The sequence below is a fragment of the Homo sapiens genome, chromosome 10, assembly GCF_000001405.40.
Source record: "Homo sapiens chromosome 10, GRCh38.p14 Primary Assembly".
Lineage (NCBI taxonomy): Eukaryota > Metazoa > Chordata > Mammalia > Primates > Hominidae > Homo > Homo sapiens.
This window is the reverse complement of record NC_000010.11, coordinates 63,992,813-64,018,656: the sequence shown is the minus strand read 5'-3', so window position 1 is coordinate 64,018,656 and position 25,844 is coordinate 63,992,813. Positions and strand designations below refer to the sequence as shown.

The following is a 25,844-nucleotide window of genomic DNA, read 5'->3' as shown; positions in this document are numbered from 1 at the left end:
TGCTCCTGAATGACTACTGGGTACATAACGAAATGAAGGCAGAAATAAAGATGTTCTTTGAAACCAACGAGAACAAAGACACAACATACCAGAATCTCTGGGACACATTCAAAGCAGTGTGTAGAGGGAAATTTATAGCACTAAATGCCCACAAGAGAAAGCACGAAAGATCCAAAATTGACACCCTAACATCACAATTAAAAGAACTAGAAAAGCAAGAGCAAACACATTCAAAAGCTAGCAGAAGGCATGAAATAACTAAAATCAGAGCAGAAATGAAGGAAATAGAGACACAAAAAACTCTTCAAAAAATTAGTGAATCCAGGAGCTGGTTTTTTGAAAGGATCAACAAAATTGATAGACCGCTAGCAAGACTAATAAAGAAGAAAAGAGAGAAGAATCAAATAGATGCAATAAAAAATGATAAAGGGGATATCACCACCGATCCCACAGAAATACAAACTACCATCAGAGAATACTACAAACACCTCTACACAAATAAACTAGAAAATCTAGAAGAAATGGATAAATTCCTCAACACATACACCCTCCCAAGATTAAACCAGGAAGAAGTTGAATCTCTGAATAGACCAATAACAGGCTCTGGAATTGTGGCAATAATCAATAGCTTACCAAACAAAAAAAGTCCAGGACCAGATGGATTCACAGCCGAATTCTACCAGAGGTACAAGGAGGAACTGGTACCATTCCTTCTGAAACTATTCCAATCAATAGAAAAAGAGGGAATCCTCCCTAACTCATTTTATGAGGCCAGCATCATCCTGATACCAAAGCTGGGCAGAGACACACCAAAAAAAGAGAATTTTAGACCAATATCCTTGATGAACATCGATGCAAAAATCCTCAATAAAATACTGGCAAACTGAATCCAGCAGCACATCAAAAAGCTTATCCACCACAGTCAAGTGGGCTTCATCCCTGGGATGCAAGGCTGGTTCAACATACGAAAATCAATAAATGTAATCCAGCATATAAACAGAACCAAAGACAAAAACCACGATTATCTCAATAGATGCAGAAAAGGCCTTTGACAAAATTCAACAACCCTTCCTGCTAAAAACTCTCAATAAATTAGGTATTGATGGGACGTATCTCAAAATAATAAGAGCTATCTATGACAAACCCACAGCCAATATCATACTGAATGGGCAAAAACTGGAAACATTCCCTGTGAAAACTGGCACAAGACAGGGATGCCCTCTCTCACCACTCCTATTCAACATAGTGTTGGAAGTTCTGGCCAGGGCAATCAGGCAGGAGAAGGAAATAAAGGGTATTCAATTAGGAAGAGAGGAAGTCAAATTGTCCCTGTTTACAGATGACATGACTGTATATCTAGAAAACCCCATTGTCTCAGCCCAAAATCTCCTTAAGCTGATAAGCAACTTCAGCAAAGTCTCAGGATACAAAATCAATGCGCAAAAATCACAAGCATTCTTATACACCAATAACAGACAAACAGAGAGCCAAATCATGAGTGAACTCCCATTCACAATTGCTTCAAAGAGAATAAAATACCTAGGAATCCAACTTACAAGGGATGTGAAGGACCTCTTCAAGGAGAACTACAAACCACTGCTCAAGGAAATAAAAGAGGATACAAACAAATGGAAGAACATTCCATGCTCATGGGTAGGAAGAATCAATATCGTGAAAATGGCCATATTGCCCAAGGTAATTTATAGATAAAATGCCATCCCCATCAAGCTACCAATGACATTCTTCACAGAATTGGAAAAAACTACTTTAAAGTTCATATGGAACGAAAAAAGAGCCTGCATCGCCAAGTCAATCCTAAGCCAAATGAACAAAGCTGGAGGCATCACACTACCTGACTTCAAAGTATCTTACAAGGCTACAGTAACCAAAACAGCATGGTATTGGTACCAAAACAGAGATATAGATCAATGGAACAGAACAGAGCCCTCAGAAATAACGCTGCATATCTACAACTATCTGATATTTGACAAACCTGAGAAAAACAAGCAATGGGGAAAGGATTCCCTATTTAATAAATGGTGCTGGGAAAACTGGCTAGCCATATGTAAAAAGCTGAAACTGGATCCCTTCCTTACACCTTATACAAAAATGAATTCAAGATGGATTAAAGACTTACATGTTAGACCTAAAACCATAAAACCCTAGAAGAAAACCTATGCAATATCATTCAGGACATAGGCATGGGCAAGGACTTCATGTCTAAAACACCAAAAGCAATGGCAACAAAAGCCAAAATTGACAAATGGGATCTAATTAAACTAAAGAGCTTCTGCACAGCAAAAGAAACTACCATCCGAGTGAACAGGCAACCTACAAAATGGGAGAAAATTTTCGCAAGCTACTCATCTGACAAAGGGCTAATATCCAGAATCTACAATGAACTCAAACAAATTTACAAGAAAAAAACAAACATCTACGATGAACTCAAACAAATTTACAAGAAAAAAACAACCCCATCAAAAAGTGGGTGAAGGACATGAACAGACACTTCTCAAAGAAGACACTTATGCAGCCAAAAAACACATGAAAAAATGCTCATCATCACTGGCCATCAGAGAAATGCAAATCAAAACCACAATGAGATACCATCTCACACCAGTTAGAATGGCAATCATTAAAAAGTCAGGAAACAACAGGTGCTAGAGAGGATGTGGAGAAATAGGAACACTTTTACACTGTTGGTGTGACTGTAAACTAGTTCAACCATTGTGGAAGTCAGTGTGGTGATTCCTCAGGGATCTAGAACTAGAAATACCATTTGACCCAGCCATCCCATTACTGGGTATATACCCAAAGGATTATAAATCATGCTGCTATAAAGACACATGCACACGTATGTTTATTGCGGCATTATTCACAATAGCAAAGACTTGGAACCAACCCAAATGTCCAACAATGATAGACTGGATTAAGAAAATGTGGCACATATACACCATGGAATACTATGCAGCCATAAAAAATGATGAGTTCATGTCCTTTGTAGGGACATGGGTGACACTGGAAACCATCATTCTCAGCAAACTATCAAAAGGACAAAAAACCAAACACCGCATGTTCTCACTCGTAGGTGGGAACTGAACAATGAGAACACATGGACACAGGAAGGGGAACATCACACTCCGGGGACTGTTGTGGGGTGGGGGAAGGGGGGAGGGATAGCATTAGGAGATATACCTAATGCTAAATGACGAGTTAATGGGTGCAGCACACCAACATGGCACACGTATACATATGTAACAAACCTGCACATTGTGCACATGTACCCTAAAACTTAAAGTATAATAATAATAAAATAAAATAAATAAAAATAAAAGTCTGGCCGGGTGCGGTGGCTCATGCCTGTAATCCCGGCACTTTGGGAGGCCGAGGCAAGGTCAGGAGTTCAAAACCAGCCTGGCCAAGATGGTGAAACCCTGTCTCTACTAAAAATACAAAAATTAGCCAGGCACAGTGGCAGACGCCTATAATCCCAGCTACTCGAGAGGCTGAGGCAGGAGAATTGCTTGAACCTGGGAAGCGGAGGTTGCAGTGAGCTGAGATCGCACCACTGCAATCCAGCCTGGGGTAGAGTAAGACTCTGTCTCAAAAAACAAAAAAAAGTCTGAAAAACAATTTCTGTTCAGTGCCTTATAAAATGACCAGTTATGTTCCAAGGAGTCTGACTCCATTTTTTGGATGTTTGACTAATGATAGCTTTTAAGCTTCACCCCTCCCTCACTGCCTTCTGCTCCACATCTGGTACAATGGACTCAGTGTTGATTCCCCACAATATTTATCTGTTGAAACCCTAATCCCAATGTGATGATATTAGAAGGTGGAGTATTTGGGGCATAATTAGGTTATGAGGGTGGAGCCCTCATGAATGGAATTAGTGCTCTTATAAGAAGAGGACATAGAGCTTACTAACTCCTATTCTGCATATAATGATACTGTTACAAGTTGGCAGTCATGAACCAGGAAGAGAGCCCTCATCAGAACTGATCATGCTGGCATGCTGAGCTTGGACTTCCAATCACCAGAGCTGCAAGAAATATATTTCTGTTGCTTATAAGCCATCCAGCCTATGACGCTTTGTTACAGCAGCTGAAATGGACCAGGACATCTGAGTAAGCCAATAAGAAAGCCCAGGTGTGCCAAAAGAGACTGAAACCATGCTAGTCCCTCCTCCCATGCAGGAACCCTTGCATGGGCTCCACCTCCTAACCACAATAAGAACTCTGAGCCAGTCTCCTTTTCTTGCTCTTTCAAGCCATTTTGGACCTGTTTGAGAGACCTACCCTGCTCTCCAAAAACCTCAATTACAGAAGGAATAAACCTAATCTTTGGAACTTTGTGAATGTGATAGGATATCTCTCCTGTGAATCTGTCATGTTATATGGCATAGCTGACCTGAGGAGAAGAGATTATCTGGGTGAGGTAATCTAATCACAGGAGTCTTTAAAAGCAGAGAACTTTCTCTGGGTGGTAGCAAAAGAGCAGCCACAAGGGGAAGTCAGGGATTTTAAGCACTAGGCGATTTTGACATGCACACATGAAAAGAAATACAGATGGCTTCTGGGAGCAGTGAGTGTCTCCACCTGACAGCCAGCAAGGAACTTAGACATACACCTGCAAGGAACTGGATTCTGTCAACGTGAATGAGCATGGAAGGCTATTCTTCCCCTGAGCCTCCAGGTAAGAGCCCATTTTGGCCAACAGCTTGTGAGACTCTGAGCAGAAAACCTAGCCAAGCTGATCCAGACTTCTGACCTACAGAACTGTGGGCTAATAAATGGGTGTTGTTTAAACCACTAAATTTGTGGTAAATTGTTATGCAAGCAATAAAAAAAAAATGTGCTAAGAGTGTGATGCTGAGACCTCACCAAAATTAAAAACTATAGGTTGCTTTCTACACCCAAAGAGGTTAAAATCTAACAGGAAAGTATATATACTAACAAAAAGGAACATGTGACAACTGCTGTAAGGACTATCCAAAGAAACTGCTTGACTTAGGTCTTTTTGGCTGCTATAACAAACTATCTTAGACTGGGTGGCTTATAAACAATGGAAATGTTTTCCCACAGTTCTGGAGGCTGGAAAGTCCACGATCAAGTCACCAGCAGAGTTGGTGTTGGTAAGGGCCTGCTTCCTGGTTCATAGACAATGGTCTTCTCCCTCTAATCCCACATGGCGGACAGAAGGAGCGTTCTCTCTTGGGCCTCTTCTATGAAAGCACTAATCCTAATCATGAGAGCTCTTCCCCCATGACCTTATCACTTCCCAAAGATTCACTATCCTAATAGCATCACCTTGGAAGTAAAGATTTCAACATATAAATTTGGGAGGGACATAAACATGCAGACTATAGCACTGCTATAGAACAGTGATTCTCAACCAAGGGCAATTTTGATCCCCAGGGGACATTTGGCAATATTTGGAGACAGCAGAAGTGCTGCTAGCTTCCAGAAGGTAGAGACTAGGAATGCTGCTGAACATCACACAATGCACAGGACACTCCCCCCAAAGAAAAGAAGAATTATCTGGTACAAGACGGCAATAGTGCTGAGGTTTGGAAACCCTGCCGTAGGAATAGAGAGAAGAAAATTAATTTCAACTGAGGATTTTGGCCCAGCTCCTTAGAGGTGGTGATATTTGAGCTGGACAGTGAAGGATAAGTAGGATTTTGAAAGATAGGGGTGCAGGTAGCAAGAAACTACCCCTGGGGTCCCTGCTTGGACGCTACACCAAAGTACACACAGGCAAAATATGGCATTGGTGGGTAGTAAGTAGCCACTCCCCCCACCCCTGTTCCCACTCCCACATCCTCACATGGTTTTCCTTTTAGTTGGTACCAAGTTCTGTAACTTCCCAATGTGTCACTCAACAAAAAGAAAATTAATTTAGAAATTGAGGTACATGACATGATGTTAGAATTTATGAACGATACAAAACACAATAAACCACGACTCGTGCCTTCAATATGTTGACAATCTAAGTGATGAGACAGTCTATCCACAAAGAAGTGCATCAAACTTAATTTTATTAAAAGTAACTGCACCACTCCTCACACCAGTCAGTTACCTCAAGGAAATTCTCCAAGTATGCCTCAACATGTATGAGATGTGCAGTCAAATTCCTGTGTGAATTTTAACGAAATGAGTTAATTCGGTGTATTGCCCTCTCTTCCCGTCCTCCACAGAGTCTGTCTTGCAAGGCAGTCACAGGAATTCAGCCCTCCACAAACTGAGAGCCTTCATGTACTTACTGCTTGCTTGTTCACTGCAGTGCTCCTCATTACCATGTTTATTATACTTTTGCATACCCTTGGTAGTCAAGAATGCAGGACTATTGTTAAACCCAGACAGGAGGAAAAATACAAGAAACTCACTCTCTTCTTTGGCACTCAATGTTTATCAAAGCCATTAGAGGGGGAGAAATGAATCTGTTGCTAATAGCATTTTCATTCTGGATAGCCCTAAACAGGAGCAGCTGGGCTGAGATTGCCATTTCAGAGTTCACGAGGGACTCTTGCAGCTGTCACATCTAAGCAAGTCTTTAAAACCATTTCTCAAAGCCAGACTTATTTGAAACAAGCATCTGGTGACAAATGTTGAAAGAATAACAAAACCCTCTGTACTCTGGGTTTCTTGACCTTCATGTTTATTAACGTTCAGCACTTCCCCACCCCTCTCAAAATTTCAAAACCATACCACTGAGCTCTACTAAATGCACTCTGCTGGAGACAAGTAAAATAGAGTGGATTTCTATGCTTCTCTGCTTGACAAAAATAAACCCATTAAAAAGTTATGATGTCAATTGATGAAAGAATGCAGGGAGCAGATTTGCTCAACTCTCCATTGGACAGTGGGTACTTTTTAGTTGAACTAAAACTTGAGCACTCTTCACTAAATCCCCTTATGATTAATTCTGTCAGCCAAGTAGATTATTTGTATAAATTTTTTAAAATATAGAACTTCTTTCACAGACAAGGAAGATTCCTCTTTAACCCCAATTTTCTCTCCAGAGTTGCCTGCAGAGAAAGCCAAATGCTTCCCAGAGCCCATGAAAACTCTCCTTTAGTGGCCTGGATAGAATTGGCCAGTCCATGAATTCTCTATCATTTCAATGGTTGAATTCAACTTTACAGGAATAGCAAAAAGAGACTGACCTTGTGCTAAGAGGAGGAAGTAAGGAGAACAGAAGTAAGGGACTCCTTTGAAATCTGCCTTATTGAAATGGAATCCTAAGACCTCTAATCATTAAATACAATCTATTTATTTTAGGAACAACTCAGTATGCCCTGGATTAACTCAACACATAAAGATAGGATGAGACAGTTAACCTCTACCCTTCCTAATACACCCAAAAGGCAGGAAACACTTAGACCATAAAGTTAAGGGTTATTTATTAAAGACGCTGAGGAAAGGAAAGAGGTTATGGCACTAACTGCCCATCAACACCATGGACAAACCTTTGTCCCAAGACAATGTCATCTGATGGATTGTGCCAAGATAGATGTAACTCATAATTGATGCAATATGAGTGACTTCTCTTGACACCTGTCTTGACCCCAGCTGGCCTGCCCAGTAGCATCTACAAAAAGGAAGCCATGAGTTGAGCTCAGTTTCAGTGAAGTATCCAATAAAACAGCATGCATAATTATAGCATGTCCTTCAGATTGTAGACATTTCCTCAAACTCTTTTGTCATTAAAAGCAGAGTTCTACTCTTTATTCACCCATCCTTTCTGTGTGCCACCACTTCCCCTTTCTTCCTTTATAACACACACACTCACACACACACAAACTCACACTCACACACACTCAGGTTGCTACATAAGAAGGAGGGAATTATTCCCTATTGTTTGAACTACTTTGTCTTACTTAGCATATTAGTCATGGTTCTCCAGAAAAACAGAACCAATAGAATAGAGGGAGGGGGTCAGGATTTATTAGGAGAATTGGCTCACACAGTGATGCAGGCTAACTAAGCAGTCCAGAAGGCAGTAACGGAAAGAGTGGTGAGAAACAAGGCAAGAGACATAAGCAGGGACTAGATCAGGAAAGGCCTTGCAGCACAGGATTACATATACATATATATATTCCAGCTATTGTAAGAAGCCATCTGGGTAGTTTGAACAGAGGAGTGGCAAGATTAAACTTAATTTTTTAGAAGGATCATTCTGACTGCTGAATGGAGAAGCTCCATGGAGTGGCAAGTTAGAAGCAAGGAAGCTACTTAGGAGGCTCATGTAGTAGTCCAGGAGTGGACGAGGGTAAACAAGGACTAGAGTGGACAGTGTAGTAGCATTGGAGAGGTTAAAAAGTGGTCAAATCTTAAAATAAAAAATAAAAAGCCTACAAGGTATTTGGTCTGGTAATAGTCCTCCAATTTACTCCTATAGAGACAGTGAAGAGAGCAGGTATAGGGATGGCAGAGGACATGAACATATTGGGTTTGAAATGTCAACTGAACATTCAAGAGTACATGTGAAGGTGGCTGTTAGCCAGTCTAGAGTTGAAGAGAGAGACTGGAGCTGAAATGCAAATTTAAGCCATCTGATAAGAACAGGACTTAGATCCATGGGCATACGATGTGAGTAGGGTGAGAAGAGCAAAGGTCTAAGGATCCAACCTAGTGCTCCACCATTTTGAGCAAGGTGAGAAAAAGCCAAGAAAGTAGACTGAGAGGAAGGAGTCAGTCAATGTGGTGTTCTGGAAGCCAAGTAAAGAAGAGATTTCTTCAAGGAGGGTGTGAATCCATGGAGCAAATGCTGCTAAGAAACCAAGGGTGGACCTGGGAACTGACCATTGTATTTAGCTATGTGGTACTCCTGGACTTGGGCCCTGAATTAAGTTTTTTAAGGGGAGTGATGATGCACAAAAGCCTGGTTTGAGAGGGTTCAAGAGAGAAGGGGGGAAAGTGTAAATAATTGGTAGAGACAAGTCTCCTGAGATTTACTGTAAATGGGAACCAAGAAATTGGGCAACAGCTAGAGAGGAAACTGAAGTCAATGAAGCTTTTTTCTTTTTAATAGAAGAAATTACAGTGTGTGTATGCTAATGGGAAAGACCCAGTACAGAGGAAAAAGTTGATGATACAGAAGAAAGGGAAGAAATTTTAGAAACAATATCCTTAGTATCCCAAAGAGGTGTGGCCTCCAGTGTACAGGTAGCAGGGTTAAATTTAGTCAGCAACCCACTGGGCATCCGGATTGGGGTGACGGGGTCAGGAAGCAGGGTATATAGGTAAAAATACAGACTGATTAGAAGGTTTCATATGGGAAGATACAGAAGTTCTCCTCAGATTGCTTCTTTTTTTCTCTGTAAAATAAAATGGGCTGGCTGAGGAATCCTGGTCATTTGAGGAGAGAGAGGTGTGAAATAGAGTGAGTTGACTAGTAGATGTAGTAGGATTGCTGTGCAGTCTGTAGGAGTTTGTGGTCCTAAATGTACCCAAACAGAATAAACCCAAATCCTATTATCCTATGATCTTCATGTTTCCTCTTTCTAAGGTGAAATAATAATACTTTTAAAGAAATTATATCCAAAGAAAAAAAAATCTAGTCTCTTATTCTTGAACTTTATGAAGATTTCTAAAGCATTTATTGATAATGATTGAACCCAAACTTCAAAATAAGGAATGTATGTTATGCACTGCATAACCATGTTTCAGTCACTGACAGACTACATATACAATGGTGGTCCCGTAAGATTACAACGGAGCATGTATAGAAACCTGATATATGGCACTTGATACTGGCATTGCAGATCAAGTAGGGGAAATGATTGATATCCAGTAATGGTGCTGGGACATTTGGTTTTCCATATGAAAAAATATATACAAATGAAAATCTCTGTACTATCTAGGTTTGCGTAAGTACACTCTATGATGTTTGCACAATTAAGTCACCAAAGGATGCATTTCTCAGAATGTATCTCATTCATCAAGCAACATGACTATTAATATATTAGAAAAATATATAAATTTTATGGGAAAAGGGATTTTTGTTTATTTTGTTCATTATTGTATTCCCAGTGCCTATAACAATGCCTGGCACATAGTTTGTAAATGGCCAATAAATATTGAAAATATGTACATTGAATAAATGTATGTACATATTGTAGTATTATACATACACTGTATGAATCCTATACAAGCATCTATCCAGTGATCTGTAATAACAGGATGTCCCCAAAGTCTTAGTCAAGTTTTAAGCTTAATAACTTTCGAAGTATAAATGCTACAAGCCTACAAAAAACATCATTTAAAAGTTAAATTATTTAACTTTCTTATATGTTTATATAGTTTTGTGAATTTTAAAAAATAAAGATTTTATTTCAATGTTTTGCTTCAGTTAATATTTGTCACCTTGAATAAAGCTTGAAAAAAACTTAACAATTTATTATTTTAACCTTACAAATCTCAGTAAGTATATAAGAAATGTAATTTTTTGTAATTTTGAAGTTCTTAAAGCTTAAAATTAAACTAACATTTTTTTGACACCCTGTATATATAAGCCACAGAGAGTGGATTGTATCAGTCCCTGGTTCTTCTTGGGGAATATAAAGATGAGATTTTCCCAAAAACTATAAAAATCTTAGAAGAAAACCTAGGCAATACCATTCACATCATAGGCACAGGCAAAGATTTCATGACGAGAACATCAAAAGCAATTGCAACAAAAGCAAAAATTGACAAATGAGATATAATTAAACTAAAGAGTTTCTGCTGCAGGAAGTCAGGGACCCTGAATGGAGGGACCAGCTGAAGCCATGGCAGAAGAACATAAATTGTGAAGATTTCATGGACATTTATTAGTTCCCCAAATTAATACTTTTATAATTTCTTATGCCTGTCTTTACTGCAATCTCTGAACATATGTTGTGATGATTTCATGGACATTTATCACTTCCCCAGTCAATACTCTTATAATTTCCTATGCCTGTCTTTACTTTAATCTCTTAATCCCGTCATCTTCGTAAACTGAGGATGCATGTCGCCTCAGGACCCTGTGATGATTGCATTATCTGTATAAATTGTTTGTAAAACATGTGTGTTTGAACAATATGAAATCTGGGCATCCTAAAAGAACAGGATAACAGCGATTTTCAGGGACCAAGGGAGATAACCGTCAGGTCTGACTGCCTGCGGGGCTGGGCAGAACAGAGTCATATTTCTTTTCTTGCAAAAGCGAATAGGAGAAATATCGCTGAATTCTTTTTCTCACCAAGGAACAGCCCTGGGAAAAGAATGCATTCCCAGGGGGAGAACTCTAAATGGCCGCTCTAGGAGTGTCTGTCTTATGCAGTTGAACATAAGGGATGAAATACGCCCTGGTCTCCTGCAGCACCCTCAGGCTTTCTAGGATTAGGACATTCCAGCCTGGTGAATTCTAGTTAGACTGGTTGTCTGCTCTCGAACCCTGTTTCCTGTTAAGATGTTTATCAATGACAATGTGTGCACAGTAGGACATGGAGCCTCATTAGTAATTCTAATTTCATCCTGGCCTTGAGACCTTGCTCTGCCCCCATTTGCCTTGTGATATTTTATTGCCTTTTGAAGTATGTGATCTCTGTGACCCACTCCCTATTTATACACCCCTCCCCTTTTGAAATCCCTAATAAAAACTTGCTGGTTTTGCGGCTCAGGGGCATCATGGAACCTGCCAACACGTGATATCACCCCCGGAGACCCAGGTGTAAAATGTATTTCTTTTGTACTCTTTCTCTTTATTTCTCAGACCGGCTGACACTTAGGGAAAATAGAAAAGAACCTACGTTGAAATATTGGGGGCTGGTTCCCCCGATAAGTTTCTGCAAAGCAAAAGAAATTATCATCAGAGTCAACAGACAGCCTACAGAATGGGAGAAAATACTTGCAATCTATCCATCTGACAAAGGTCTAATATCCAGAATCTACAAGGAATTTACAAGAAAAAAACAACCCCATTAAAAAATGGGCAAAGGACAAGAACAGTCAGTTCTCAAAAGAAGATATTTATGTGGCCAACAAACATATGAAAAAAACCTCAACATCACTGATCATTAGAGAAATGCAAATCAAAACCACCATGAGATGCCATCTCATGCCAGTCAGAATGGTGATTATTAAAAAGTCAAGAAACAACGGATGCTGGCAAGGCTGTGGAGAAATAGGAATACTTTTACACTGCTGGTGGGAATATAAATTAGTTCAACTATTGTGGAAAACAGTGTGGCAATTCCTCAAAGACCTAGAACCAGAAATACCATTTGACCCAGCAATCTCATTACTGGGTTTATACCCAAGGGAATATAAATTGTTCTATTATAAAGATACATGCACACATATGTGAATACTTGCAGCACTATTCACAATAGCAAAGACATGGAATCAACCCAAATGCCTGTTAATGATAGACTAGATAAAGAAAATATGGTACATATACACCATGGAATACTATGCTGCCATAAAAAGGAATGAGATCATGTCTTTTTCAAAGACATGAATGGAGCTGGAAGCCATTATCCTCAGCAAACTGAGGCAAGAAAATTAAGGCATGTGGAACTTAATACCTACATGATGGGTTGATAGATGCCGCAAACCATCATGGCACACATTTACCTATGCAACAAACCTGCACATCCTGCACATATATCCTGGAACTTAAAATAATTTTTTTTAATGATGAGATTTTCTGGTCTAGTCTGGACCCTCTTCTATGAGTCTGGTGCAGAAGATGCCTCCTTCTTACCTACTATTTATTACTGATCAGATGTAGTGCTTGACCAAGCACAATCTTTAAGACCCTGTGGCCTGGGCCCTGTTCAAGGCTCTACCTAACTTCTCTGCAGGATGCACTGCCACTCAGTGACATTGTCATTTTTACTCTCTGCCCTTAGAGGTCTGGGACCTCTCTGGTGGCTGCATTCTCCCTGCAAGGTCAGCACAGGCAATCAGAAAGAGTCCTGCTCCTTTGGCCCATGGATCTCTCTCTGCCTGAAGTAGGAACCCAAAACAAGTCTCTCACTTGGGCAGTGACACTTTCTTTATAACAGCCCCCAGGAAACAATAGATCAGGAGAAAATTGAATTTACCTAGTGTCTGTAGATCCCTGTATATGTTTTGAATGGAAGTCCAATTTACTAATTAAGTTACTCTGCTGTTACGGAGAGTTTTGCCCAAGGCTAGTTAGGAACAAATGCTTGTAACTTAGCATTTTTACTGGAGGGTTTTATTGGTCTGTCTTCCACTTCCCACTACTAAAACTTAGAGAAAAGAGGGAAGGAGAAGAGACAAAAGAGAAAGCAGGTAGTTAAATAGCACTTGAGGGAGGAGACTCCTGCTGACATCTGTCAGCCAAGTGTGCAGAAGGCTCTGGGTGAGGTCAGCACAGAGGAGAGCACAGTACTCAGGCCATCCACCTGCTATGGGGGTCCCAATTGACTCATCTGAGCCATGGGGCCTCCCCAGCCCACTTTTTCTGCATTCCAGACCCGCTACCTATACAGAGAATTCCTACCCAGTACTTCAGCATTCATGCACACAAAGTGCTTAGCACAACCATCAGCACATATGAAATACCAAATGCAGACCTCTTTGGTTGTTCCACAGTTTTATCACTTTATATTGTGTGCCCCTTTTATTTATTTATTTAATTTTTAGCAACAGGGTCTCACTCTGTCACCCAGGCTGGAGTGCAGTGGCCCAACCATGGCTCACTGCAGCCTTGAACTCCTGAGCTCAAGTGATCCTCTCACCTCGGCTTTCTGAAGTGCTGGGATTACAGGCGTGAGCCACTGTCCCCAGCCATGTGTCCCTGTTTAAATTGAATATTTCATATACAATCAGACTCCTCACTATAAAAAATAATAATTTGATAATACATGTCAGTAATTGATAGGAAGCTTAGAAGCAGCATCCTATTTGTTTAGGTCAGGGCAGATGCCACACAGAACTTACTTTATCATGTAATTTTCCTGTTAGGAGAGTCATTTCAAATTATATGGCTTGCCTTTGAAATACGAAGTGAGAATTGCAACAGAAGTAAAAAAGTTTTTAAAACGGTATCAGAAAATAAAAGGTTACCAACAAATGTACAAAGTATATTGCCCTGAAAAACACATAAAATTATGGTAACAAGAAAATCTTAACATTTAAGTAATTGACATAAAATCATATTTTAATGCTTTATCATTGAAATTTTGAGGCATACAAAATGAAAGAGAAAAACACAATGAAGAACCAAGAATCCATCATCTATTTTCAACATATAGTTATCAAAATGTGTTTTGATACCCTGGTTTTCTCAATTTCTTCACCCTCTATATACCTACTAATTTTTAAACATTTTTTACAAATTCTAGAAAGATATTTCATCTACAAATTCTTAAGCGTAAATCATTGAAGATTATGAACTCCTTTACTAAGTTAATTAAAATATCTTTAACACACATAAATATATCAATTATTTAATATCAAGTATAAAGTCAGTGCTCAAATGTTTCTAATTGTGTAAGAAAATGTTGGCTTTTACAATTGGTGCATTTGAATTTAGATCTAAACAATGTACCCACTGTTATTTTATTTATTTATTTATTTATTTATTTATTTATTTATTTATTTATTTATTTATTTTTGAGATGGAGTTTCACTCTTGTTGCCCAGGCTGGAGTGCAATGGCGCAATCTCAGCTCACTGCAAACTCTGCCTCCCAGGTTCAAATGATTCTCATGCCTCAGTGTCCTAAGTAGCTGGGATTACAGGCGTGAGCCACCATGCCCAGCTAATTTTTGTATTTTTCGTAGAGACTAGGTTTCACCATGTTGGCCAGGCTGGTCTCGAACTCCTGACCTCAAGTGATCCACCCACCTCGGCCTCCCAAAGTGCTGGGATTACAGGCATGAGCCACCACACTTGGCCCAATGTACCCATTTTTAGTTGGAATATGTCATACATTTCTTATTTTTTACTCTATAAGTTCCTCTTTCCTCCTTTTATTTTCATTTGTTTATTGAAGAAATTAGAATTCCCCACATTCTATATTTGTCATATTGCAATCAATTGCTGTTTAACACATTCCACTATCCCTATATTCCTGTAAAAACAGAAATAAATGTTGAGGCTTTATTAGAATCAGGTTCTGGTTTGGGAAGGGCAATTCACAGTTGCTGTGTGGTTTTTATTTTATCACTTTAGAAAGCACGTTCAGTCCTGTTGTTTCTCTGTGCTCTTAAAATTAATCCTTCAGTTCAAATATTGTCAGCCTTCTTTATCCATTAAACATTTCTTTCTTACCAACATTTTACCAAATCATGTTATTGGCCATTAATGATCATTAACTAGATATATTATTTTGTTAAAAGTAGTAAAAGCTGTCTATTTCTAACTCTGGCATTCCTTCTGCAATTATTAGCTGGCATTTACTAAATACATTTTTCCCTTATCAACTCTTCAGTGTCCCTAAAATTAAGTCTGTTCAGGAAGGACAGGATAAGTGTTTGGTGCTTTCTTCTTACATGTCTGTTTTTGTTTTGGTTTTTGGTTTTTTGGTTTTTTAAAATTTAACTTTTATTTTGAGTTCAGGGGTATACATGCAGGTTTGTTATATAGGTAAACTTGTGTCATGAGGGTTTGTTGTACAGATTATTTCCTTGCCCAGGTATTAAGCCTAGTACCCATCAGTTATTTTTCCTCATCCTCTTCCTCCTCCCACCCTCTACACTATAATAGGCCCCAGTGTATGTTGTTCCACTCTAGATATCCATATGTTCTCATCATTTAGCTCCCACTTATAAGTGAGAATATGCAGTATTTGGTTTTCTGTTTCTGTATTAGTTTGTTAAGGGTAATGGCCTCTAGCTCCATCCATATCCCTGTGAAGGATATGATCCCATTCTTTTTTATGGCTGCACAGTATTCCATGGTGTATATGTACCATATTTTCTTTATCCAGTCTGCCATAGGGCATTTAGGTTGAATCCATGTCTTTACTATGTGCATAGTGCTGCAATGAACATACACATCCATGTGTCTTTCTAATAGAACAATTTATATTCCTCTGGGTATATACCCAGTAATGAGATTGCTGGGTTGCGATCCTCTATCTGGGAAACCCCACGGTCTCAGCCAAAAAGCTCAGGAATAGTCTAATTTCCTCTCTTTCTATTTAGGTTCCCTTTATTTCTCTCTCTTGTCTGATTACTGTAATCAGGACTTCCAATACTATGTTGAAAAGGAGTGGTGAGAAAGGGCAGCCTCGTCTTGTGTCGGCTTTCAAGGAGAATTCTTCCAGCTTTTGCCCATTAAGTATGATGTTAGCTGTGAGTTTGTCATAGATGGCTCTTGTTATTTTGAGGTATGTTCCTTCAATACCTAGTTTATTGAGAGTTTTTAACATGAAGGGGTGTTGAGTTTTATTGAAAGCCTTTTCTACATCTATTTAGATAATGTGGTTTTTGTCTATAATTCTGTTTACGTGATGAATCACATTTATTGGTTTGCATATGTTGAACCAAGCTTGCATCCATGCATAAAACCTACTTGATCATGGTTGATAAGCTTTTGGATGTGCTGCTGGATTCAGTTTGCCAGTATTTTGTTGAGGATTTTTGCATTGATTTTCATCAAGAATATTGGCCTGAAGTTTTCTTTTTTGTTGTGTCTCTGCCAGGTTTTGGTATAAGGATGATGCTGGCCTCATACAATGAGTTAGGGAGGAGTTCCTCCTCCCAATTTTTTGGAGTAGTTTCAGTAGGAATAGCACCAGCTCTTTGTGCATCCAGTAGAGTTCAGCTATTAATCCATCTGGCCTTCTGCTTTTTTTTTGGTTGGTAGGTTATTTATTACTGCCCCTATTTCAGAGATCATTATTGGTCGGTTTAAGGATTCAATTGCTTCCTGGTTTAGTCTTGAGAGGGTGTATGTGTCCAGGAATTTATCCATTTCTTTTAGATATTCTAGTTTATGTGCATAGAAATGTTCATGATATTTTCTGATGGTTGTTTGTATTTCTGTGGGGTCAGTGATAATATCCCCCTTGTTGTTTCTGATTGTGTTCATTTGAATCTTCTTTATTCTTCTTTATTAGTCTAGCTAGTAGTCTATATATTTTATTAATTTTTTTTCAAAAAAACAGCTCCTGGAGTTGTTGATCTTTTGAATGGTTTTTCACATCTCAACCTCCTTCAGCTCAGCTCTGATTTAGTTATTCCTTGTCTTCTGCTAGCTTTGCGATTCATTTGTTCTTGGTTCTCTAGTTCTTTTAGTTATAATGTTAGGTTGTTAACTTGAGATCTTTCTAACTTTTTGATGTGGGCATTTAGTGCTATAAATTTCCGTATTAACCTGCCTTAGCTGTGTCCCGGAGATTATGGTATGTTGTATCTTTCTTTTCATTAGTTTCAAAGGTCTTCTTGATTTATGCCTTAATTTCACTTTTTACCCAAAAGCCATTCATGACCAGGTTATTCAATTTCCATGTAGCTGTGTAGTTTTGAGTGAATTCCTTAGTCTGGATTTCTAATTTGATTGTACTGTGATCTGAGAGGTTGTTTGTTATGATTTCAGTTCTTTTGAATTTGCTGAAGAATGTTTTATTTCTGATTATATCATCAGTTTTAGAGTATGTGCCATGTGATGATGACAAGAATGTAAATTCTGTTGTTTTGGGGTGGAGAGTTCTGTAGATGTCTGTCAGATCTATTTGGTTCAATGCTGAGGTCCGTTCCTGAATATGTTTTTTAACTTCCTGTCTCAATGATCCGTCTAATGTTGTCAGTGGGGTGTTAACATCTCCCACTATTATTGTGTGGGAGTCTAAGTCTTTTTGAAGATCTCTAAGAACTTGCTTTATGAATCTGGGTGCTGTTGTGTTGGGTGAATATATATCTAGGATAGTTAGATATTCTTATTGAATTGAACCCTTTACCATTATGCAGTGCCCTTCTTTGTCTTTTTTGATCTTTGTTGGTTTAAAGTTTGTTTTGTCTGAAATTAGGATTGCAACCCCTGATTTTTTCTGTTTTCCATTTGCTTGGTAGATTTTTCTCCATCTCTTTATATTGAGCCTATATGTGTCACTGCATGTGAGATGGGTCTCTTGAAGACAGCATACCAATGGGTCCTGGTTCTTTATCCAGATTGCCACTCTGTGTCTTTCAATTCAGTCATTTAGCCCATTTACTTTCAGGGTTAGTATTGATGTGTGTGGATTTGATCTTGTCATCATGATATTAGCTAGTTATTTGAAGACTTGTTTATGTGGTTGCTTTATAGTGTCACTGGTCTGTGTACTTCAGTGTGTTTTTGTAGTGACTGGTAACAGTCTTTCTTTTCAATATTTAGTGCATCCTTTAGTAGCTCTTGCAAGGCAGGTCTGGTGGTAATAAACTCCCTCAGCATTTTCTTGTCTGAAAAGGATCTTATTTCTCCTTTGCTTATGAAGCTTAGTTTGGCTAGATATGAAAGTCTGGGTTGGAAATTCTTTTCTTTAAGAATGTTTAATATTGGCCTCTAATCCTTTATGGCCTGTAGGGTTTCTGCTGAGAGGCCTACTGTTAGTCTGATGGGCCTTGCTTTGAGGTGGCCTGACCTTTCTCTCTGGCTGCCTTTAATATTTTTTATTTCCTTTTGACCTTGGAGAATCCAGTGATTATCTGTCTTGGGGATGATCTTCTTGTGAATTATCTTACTGGGGTTCTCTGCATTTCCTGAATTTAAATATTGGCCCGCCTAGCTAGTTTGGGGAAGTTCTCTTGGATGATACCCTGAAATATATTTTCCAAGTTGGTTCCATTCTCCCCATCTCTTTCAGGAACACCAATGAGTAGTAGATTTGGTCTCTTTCCATAATCCCATATTTCTTGGAGGTTTTGTTCATTCCTTTTCATTCTTTTTTCTCTATTCTTATCTGACTGTCTCATCTTAGAAAGGCATCCTTCAAGCTCTGAGATTCTTTCCTCTGCTTAGTCTATTCTGCTATTAATACTTGCAATTGGATTATGAAATTCTCGTAGTGTGTTTTTTAGCTCTACCAGGTTGGTTATGTTCTTTTCTATACTGGCTGTTTTGTCTGTCAGCTCCTGTATTGTTTTATAATGATTTTTCACTTCCTTGGATTGGGTTTTGATGTACTCCTGTAGTGCAATTATCTTTGTTCCTATCCATATTCAGAATTCTATTTCTGTTATTTCTGCCGTCTCAGACCCAGTTCAGAACTCTTTCTGGAGAGATGATGTGGTCATTTGGAGGAAAGAAGGCACTCTGGCTTTTTGAGTTTTCAGGGTTCTTGCACTGATTCTTTCTCATCTTTGTGGGCTTATCTCCCTTCAATCTTTGAGGTTTCTGACCTTTTGGATGGGTTTTTTTTCCTTTTATAGTATTTAGTGACCTTGAGGGTTTGATTGTAGTATAAGGTGGATTCAGCTAACTGGCTTCATTTCTGGAAGACTTTAGGGGGCCAATGCTCAGCTCCCAACCCCTGGACAGCATCCTCCAACTCTGGAGGACTTATATTGGGCCCCAACTTTGTTCTCTGGCAGCAGAGAACACAAGGTTAGGAATCCACTGTGCTGTGGGGGCCAAGTTGCTCCCAGACCACTGGTCACTACACTCTGATGCATGGTGTCAGCCAAAGCATTTTGTAGTGAGATCCATCTCCTAGCAGAAGAGTGCTAGTGGGTGTCAGATTGCCTGCCTCCCTGCAGGTGTTTACTACAGTGGGAGAGGCAACACAGCTGGGCAGGGGGGTGGGAGCAGTGGGGGTCCCTGCTGGCAACTGTGTGCATGGTCATGCTGGAGGTAGTGTTGGCTTGGGGGCAGGGCACTAGCAGGAGCAAGTCAGGGTACCTTATTTTTGCCTTGAAAGCAAGAGTGGTCACTCAGGGTAGGGAGGATCCACTGTTCTCTGCACAGTGTTAGTGCAAGGGCAGGGTGCTGGCAGGGGTGAGGCTGGCTGGCTCTGTGCCTACAAAGGCTCCATCTGCAATAGCAATTAGTAGGGGGAAGGGAGGCAGACTGCACTCCCATGCATTGGTGGAGCAAGAAAAGCCAAACCTGCCCACACAGATGCACCAGCAAAGCAACGTGGGGTGTTGTTGTGGGTCCCAGGGGAAGCTGTTGTAGTATGGCTGGTGCATGGCCATGGGAACCCCCTGCTGGAGCAGGGTGCTAGTCAGGCATAGTCTACCAACACAGACGCTATTAGTGCAGGCTCCCAGAGCACCTCAGTCTGTCCTGCAGGCAGACATAGCCAGGCTGGGGCCTTGGGAGAGGCCAACAGACAAGGGGGTGCTCAGGTTGAAGTGGTCCCATCTGATAGAAAAGGCTACCCTGCAGAGTTCAAGTCTGACAGTTCCCCTAGGGCTAAAGTCTCCTATGGAAGCAAGTCGAGCCTAGGAGGATGGCTGCCCCAGCCATGCTCCACTGTAGATGCTCTTACAACAAACCCTCAAGGATCTACATCAGCCAGCTTGCTGCCTCTATCACTTCTCTAAGCAGCTCTCCTTGCCAACTCTAATGTCTGTGGTGGTCAAGGGGTCTCCTTCTGCCAGGGTTCCACAGGCCTGTGGCAAGAGCAGGTTGTTCCTTGACAGTTCAATTCACCCATTCCCCCAGAGCCCTTGGGGGCTAGGAATGAGTCCTGGTGCATGGTATCTCCATGCAGGGTTCCCAGCTACCTCACACTTCAGCCCAGCTTCTGTGTTTTTCCTCTGTGCACTTTCAGTGCCTTCTCTCTGCAGATCTGTTAGGAGCCTGCCAGTCATCTCTGTCTCTTCCATGGGAGCAGTTCCATCTGGCTTCGTCTAGTCAGCCATCTTGCCCTCCCCATGTCTGTTTTTGAATAAGGACATATTTGATGCTGTTAATACTTTGCAATTATTAATATTTCAGTGCTCAAATTGTCTCCCATGTGGGAAATGAGAGCATCTTTCAGTTGGCTCTTTTGCCCTTTGGACATGACACAAATGTCATGATAGGTTGTTGTAAGTTATAACATGGTTTTTCTGTCTTATCTTCCTTATTTCCTGCCCAAGACGCAAACCCAGCCATTATCCAAAACTTCCTGGCTAGTTTTAGTGAGGCATTATTCTTAGAACCTACCATCTGAGGGAAAGGCATACTCATTCTGAGTGGATTGAACAATGTCTCCCGGAGCTGTCCAACAGAATGTTCTGCAATGATGAAAATATTCTATAGCTGTACTGTCCAAGATCATAGTCACTAGCCATGTGTGGTACTTGAGCTCTTGAAATATGGTTAGTGAGACTTATCCGAATTTTTCATTTTATCACATTTACCTTTAATTATTTTAAATATAAATAGCCATGTGTGACTAGTGGATACCTTATTGGGCAGTTCAGATCTACACCTTGGGGATGGTGTTTAAAAGTGCCACTGAATTTCTCTGACACTTTTCCTATGAAGAGTTAAGGTCTATTCTTCCCCTCTTCCATTGATCTAGGCGGGCCTGTGACTGCTTCTACAATCACAGAAAGGTAAAATGGATGTGATGTAATTTACGAGTCTAGGTCATAAAAGTCCTTTTGGCTTCTGACTGGCTGTTTTGAAACCTTCACTCTCCTTATGCCCCCTCTGAGAATGCTCAAGAGCTAATTGCCAAGCTGGAAGCCCAGCTACACTGAGCTGCCATACTGGAGAGATGATGTGAAGGCACTTCAGTTGACATGTCATGTCCACCTCATCCTCAGCAAGTCACTGGGTTTGTGAGTAAAGCCTATTTAGATCCTCCAGACCAGCCCTTTGGCCAGATGAGTGATTCAGATGAGAGCAAGAACGTAAGAATCATACAGCCCAAATTCCTGACCCACAGAATGTATAACAATAGCAAAATGGTTGTTCTTTTATACCACTAAGTTTGATACACTGCCTAGATTAATAACAAGCACTTGGTTAAATATATTATGGTATAAACCAGTTAGACTATTTGACAACCAATAAAACAGTCCTTACGGAAAGTAATTATATAGAAAATTATTATTAATAATATTAAGTATTAAAATACATATGTGAATTGATGATAACTATTGAAAACACATAGAGGAAAAGACAGTTGAAGGAAATGCACCAAAATATTAACATATATTACGTCAAAGTGGTAGGAACAGTAATTTTTCTTTCTTTATTTTCTAAGTTTTCCATATATGGCACATATTTTACAATGAAAAAAATAAATAGCTTAATACACAATTTCTTAAGTGACAGAAGAGAAAGGAAAATTTCTGCTTACCAGTTGCCTGAGATACCTTCCTACCCAAAAGCCCTCCATCACTAGGCAAAAGTGGTGGTCAAAGCTTTGCTCATCTACCTTCTACCACCCTCTCTCTGGTGCCTGGAGACTCAATCTTCCTCTCTGGTCCCCCATCCATCCTAAAAATGGATAAAAAGAGACCTGGGCACTCTTGCCATATGAATGCAGGGATTTCTAAAGGGCAGCTTCCTACTTGTTTCTCTCTTCTTCCAGGCTGCCCCAAAGAAATGCAGGGCTCCCCATAGTAGTGTTAATTACCTTGAAAGCATGACCTTATAGGTATCACCAGCAGCTAGAATCCAGAGGTGAATGTAGGTTTTATGAGGCTCATCCAAAGCTTTTAGAATTTGAAGGGGAGCCTCTTTTAGAAATCCAAATAGCACATTTACCCACAGAATCCCAAAGGCACCAACTCCCAGGATGGGGGAAAAAAAGGATGTTCTGACCTCCTGCTGCACCAGCAACTGTGCTGTGCAGGACTCCTTGAATATTCCAGAGCAAATGCAGGATCCATGTAGCCTCGCTCCCCTCAATTTCTCAACAGCACTTCCCCTCACTAGGCTCTCTGATGGTGTTGCTCAGTGTCCCAGTGAAAGACTGAAGAGCCTTGGGCAGTGGACAGTGGACAGTGAGGGTGGCTGCCTCTCAGAGGGGCGCCAGTGGCATTCTCAAGGGCCACACTCTCACCTGCTCACTTATGGAGTGTGGGGCTCCCGAGTTCTCCATAGGAGAGCTTGCTCTTTCTGTGCGTATTTCTTGCTTTAGGTCATCTGATGAAAACTTGCCTCTCTCCTTATTTAGAAGAGCCTGTTAGGGCTCAAACTCATGACAATAAATATTAATCAAAATTTCCAAACCAAAGGTGTAAGTATAGTTTTCTGTTTAAGTATACATTTCCTTCTCCTTTTATTTGATAGTTGGTCTACAAATTCTTTTTTCTTAATGAACAGACCAAGAGAAGAATCTTCAAGTGGACTTCAGGCGGATCCTACTCCATGTACTTTCACAAGAGATCTAGTCCCTTCCTTGCATTCGAGGCCTCTCCAGCATCTGAACAAGGAAATAACATTGGGACTGCTATCTGCTGAAGTCTCTGCTGCAGCAAATGGTACTGTGGCCACCAGTGGGAGGGGCATACTCTACAATCTCCTCCGAAAATGTGAGCATTCTCAAAAGCACCCTTCATGCCATTTGGGTATAAATGAAGAGAAAGGAAGAATATCGATCACACAGTGCTTGAAATTTCCTGGAAGCTGTTACTTCATGCTTATTACATAGTCACCATATGACCTTTTATTAGTTGTTTGCAGGCCATTTCTCCAACTAAATTTTAAGCTCTGGTGGTAAAGGGTCAGGGTCCTGCCATTTTATTTTCATACCCTGCACCCTTGCAAAATTCTAGGCTCATACAGGAGCTTACTAAAGCTTGCCAGAATATTTGAATTAACTAACATAACTAACTTCATAATTAACCACAAATTCATATTAATCATGCTAAATGAGGGAAGATGGCATTGAGCCATGTTGACAGCTAGCCTACACAGAGCATCACTGTGTGACACAGAGTTTCTATGGGGACTCCAAGGAGGAGGCTGGGAGCTCTGAAAACCCCTTTCAGAGGCAGAATACTTGAAGGAGGAAAATATGTTTAAATGGGGCAAAGGGAGATTGTCAAGAGAAGATAATACCCCGTTTTTAAAAGCCCTGTCCTAAACCACTCAGGCTGCCCAAGAATGGAGCAGGGCATCTCACAAAGCCACAGCTGTCCTTGCTGGGCAGATGAAAGCTGAGTCTGAAGGATCATCTGCAGGAAGAGCTGTGAGTCCTCTACGGCCGTGTCTAAATTTAGGTGTCTCTGATTCAAAGTGGCAAGCCCAACATACCCCGCACACCATCCCCTCTCCTTGGAATAAAGAACAACAGGAGACCACGCCCCAAGAAAAGTATACATGATGGTGCAAGTACAAATTGGCCACTTGGCTCACCTCAGGGAGCGTCCTTCCCAGGCCCCTTCCACATTTCTCTGTGGTTCGGTTTCCAAAGAGTCTGGCTTAAGCACTGCCCTCCCTGCTACCCTCCTGCCTCACTTCTAGAAACAGTTCCTGAATAGAAAAACATTCCAGTTTCTACCTAAGGTACCAGACATGTGAATATATTAGTTTTCAATTGCTACCTAACAAGTTGCCACAAACTAAGTGTCTTAAAACATTTATGTATTATCTCATGGTTTCATGAGTTAGAAGTCCAGGCAAGTGGAGCTGAGCTGCTTAGGGCCTCACAAAGCTAACATCATGGTGTTAGCTGGGGCATCAGTCTCATGTGGAGCTCAGAGTGTTCCCAGACTCACTCAGATTGATGACAGAATTTTGATTCTTGCAGTTGTAGAACTGAGGCCACATCTTCTGGCTGGATGTCAGTTGGGGGCTGCTTTCAGCTCCCAAAGGCCACCCTAAGGTCCTATCCATGTGGTCCCCTCCACTGAAAGTTCTAGTGCCTGCTCTGTTTCTGTCCCTTTTAAGGACTCACCTATCAGGCCAGGCCCACCATGGATAATAGGATAATCTTCCTTTCCCCATAAAGACGAGCATAATCACCAGGAGTGATATTCATCATATTCACAGGTCGTGCCTATCCTTAAGGGGAGAGAGATGATACAGGGTATCTATATCAAGGAGCAGGAATCTTGGGGACCATCTTAGAATTCTACTGCCACAGTGAGTACAGTATATCTAAAATGTACTTTGCGTTTTATCTTGCTTAAACACTTTCTTATATATTGGCCCATGTTAGCAAGTTAAGTTAAAAAAAAAAAAAAAGTTAAGTAAAAACTATAAATAGCACTTAAAGGAGAAGGAAAGAGGCAGAGGTCCAGAACTCCAGTTTGCCATTTGCTCCCTCCTCCCCATATCAGCCAACCTCAGTTGTTTGCAGTAGAGAAATGCACATGCCTGAGATCCCGCTGACCAAAATGTCACCCAGCACTTCTGTTTATTATTCATTGGGCATTGTTGAATTACACTGGTCATTTCACCCATTATGTGCTAAATGATGTGCTAAATCTGGAGCATGGGGAGAAAACAGGGAAACCCTGGGGGAAGATTGCTTTGGGATGGGCTGACCTGGCCCCCCTTGGCTGCACGTCTGGGTTCAGGCCATCCTCCCATCTCCCCTCCCTAACCCTGCAGAGAGTATCTGCACTTCAGGTTAGTGCTGGCAGCTCTAGAATTTCCTGTACATGGGAATATACAGGATTCACCCCCTCTGTGTAAGGGTTCTTCCACTGAGTGTGAAGTTGTGTGATCCTCTCTGTTGTTGCCTGTTCTCAAGATTCGTTCCCTTTATTACCTGAGTAATGTGATTGCACCACAGTTGGTTTTCATTGTCTCATAGATGGACACCTGAGATATTTCCAAGTTGTGCCTATCATGAATAAAGCTGCTGTGAACATTCTAGTATAGGACAAAAGGATGAAAAGAAGTTTGAAGTCTGTCTTCTGTCTTTTAATCTTATTTATAATTTTTAAATAAAAGGTTTCTAATTTCAATGGAGTCATTTCTTAGAGTAAGTTTCATGATTTTTTTAATTTTAAGAAA

The 25,844-nt window shown here is 40.4% G+C and overlaps 1 long non-coding RNA gene across 4 annotated transcripts in view; it reads right to left on the bottom strand.

Annotated features, from left to right (window-relative positions):
* The window catches only part of LOC124902439 (uncharacterized), an 820,351-nt gene that overhangs the window by 674,283 nt on the left and 120,224 nt on the right, over positions 1 to 25,844 (bottom strand). The gene's annotated exons all lie outside the window — the stretch shown is intronic.